General features: G+C 43.3%; 1 annotated feature.

Annotated features, from left to right (window-relative positions):
- Positions 553–847: an enhancer, noted in NCBI's record as "tiled region #15266; HepG2 Activating non-DNase unmatched - State 12:CtcfO, and K562 Activating DNase unmatched - State 12:CtcfO". NCBI's record gives its function as "activates a minimal TATA promoter and a strong SV40 promoter by Sharpr-MPRA in HepG2 and K562 cells {active_cell/tissue: HepG2 | K562}" and the evidence as "EXISTENCE:reporter gene assay evidence [ECO:0000049][PMID:27701403]".

Raw genomic sequence — 1,309 nt, 5'->3', positions numbered from 1 at the left:
AAACCTCTATCACTTCATTTCTTTTTAGACTTCCAGCCACATAAACACTTCTTTGAACCTTCTTCAGATAACCTTCCTCCTGCCTGAGAGCCAGCTATACACCAAAGGTGTGCCTCGGCCCAATCAGTGGGCAGGATGGGCGTGGCCTCTCGCATAGGGCTCCTGGGTAGGTCTTTCTCCTGCTCCTTTTCACCTCCTGCCTTTGCCTGTTTGATGGGTGACATTCGTTTTCTTTTATACTCTTACTAAATTAATCTACTTTCGTTTTGCATCTGTCATATCTCATCAAATAGCCCTGTTGAATATCACCTCACTTAGCAATGCCAACGATTCCAATGCGTTTGAAGGGCAACCTTCAAAGTACTACAAATCTCTTCCAGTTCGGTCACGATTTAAAAATGTCAGGCCCTCTTCTCTAGGATGGTGGATATAATCTGAATAAAGAGCCTGGCTGCCCTTTATTTATCTTCATCCAAGTCCTTCCCCAAATCCCAAGTTTCTTTGGGCTTCTAATGGACTGAGACATGCCCCAATAGCCCCTCCATATAACCTCTACCTCCTTCTATTCTGATTTAATTGCTTTGGACTGAAACATGGACATCAGGAGATTTTTAAAGCTCTTCTGGAGGTTCTGACATGCAGCAAAATGAGAACTACTGGTGTAGAGGGAAGCTTCCCTGCTAAGTAACATGGCCCCTAGACCTGGGAATCAGCGGTGCGGCAGGCCCAACTGCCCTTTGCTGCCCTCTGCTGGCTTCTCTCGGCGGAGCTTCAACTAACGGGCTCAGCTCTGAAAGCTGTAAAAAGAACTCTGGTTTAAAAGTGATTGGAAAAGTAGGTTGCAGGTATTCAAGAAATGTAATATACTCTAACTCTCTCCTTTTACTTCCTTTTCATTTGCTTTTTTTCACCCGAAACAGTTTCTGGGCAGGAAATCAGACTATTTTCTATAGCTAGACACCTATTTTCTTGGCTGAGTAGGAGATATGAATGAGCCGGTGGGTCAGGAAAGACCAGAGGAGGTGACATCTGTTCCAAGACAGCTCTGATTGCGAGGATCAGGACAAGTTCTCTGGAATGCAGAGAGGTATCTTGACTCGCTGACAATGCTGCAGAAATACAATTTTAAAGTGAGCATTTCCTTTTCTGTGCTTCTAGCTATAACTCACTCTGTACTTTATCACAATGATAACAGCAAAAACATTTGTTGATTTTTTTTTTAGTTTTTACTCTGTGTCAGCCACAGTTGTGGATGACTTACCTGTCATCTTACAACAATATTTTACCCCTACATTAACGATGAGGGAGA

The sequence above is a fragment of the Homo sapiens genome, chromosome 3 (assembly GCF_000001405.40).
Source record: "Homo sapiens chromosome 3, GRCh38.p14 Primary Assembly".
NCBI classification, from domain to species: domain Eukaryota; kingdom Metazoa; phylum Chordata; class Mammalia; order Primates; family Hominidae; genus Homo; species Homo sapiens.
The sequence above is the reverse complement of the archived record's forward strand: the minus strand, read 5'-3'. Positions and strand labels throughout refer to the sequence as shown.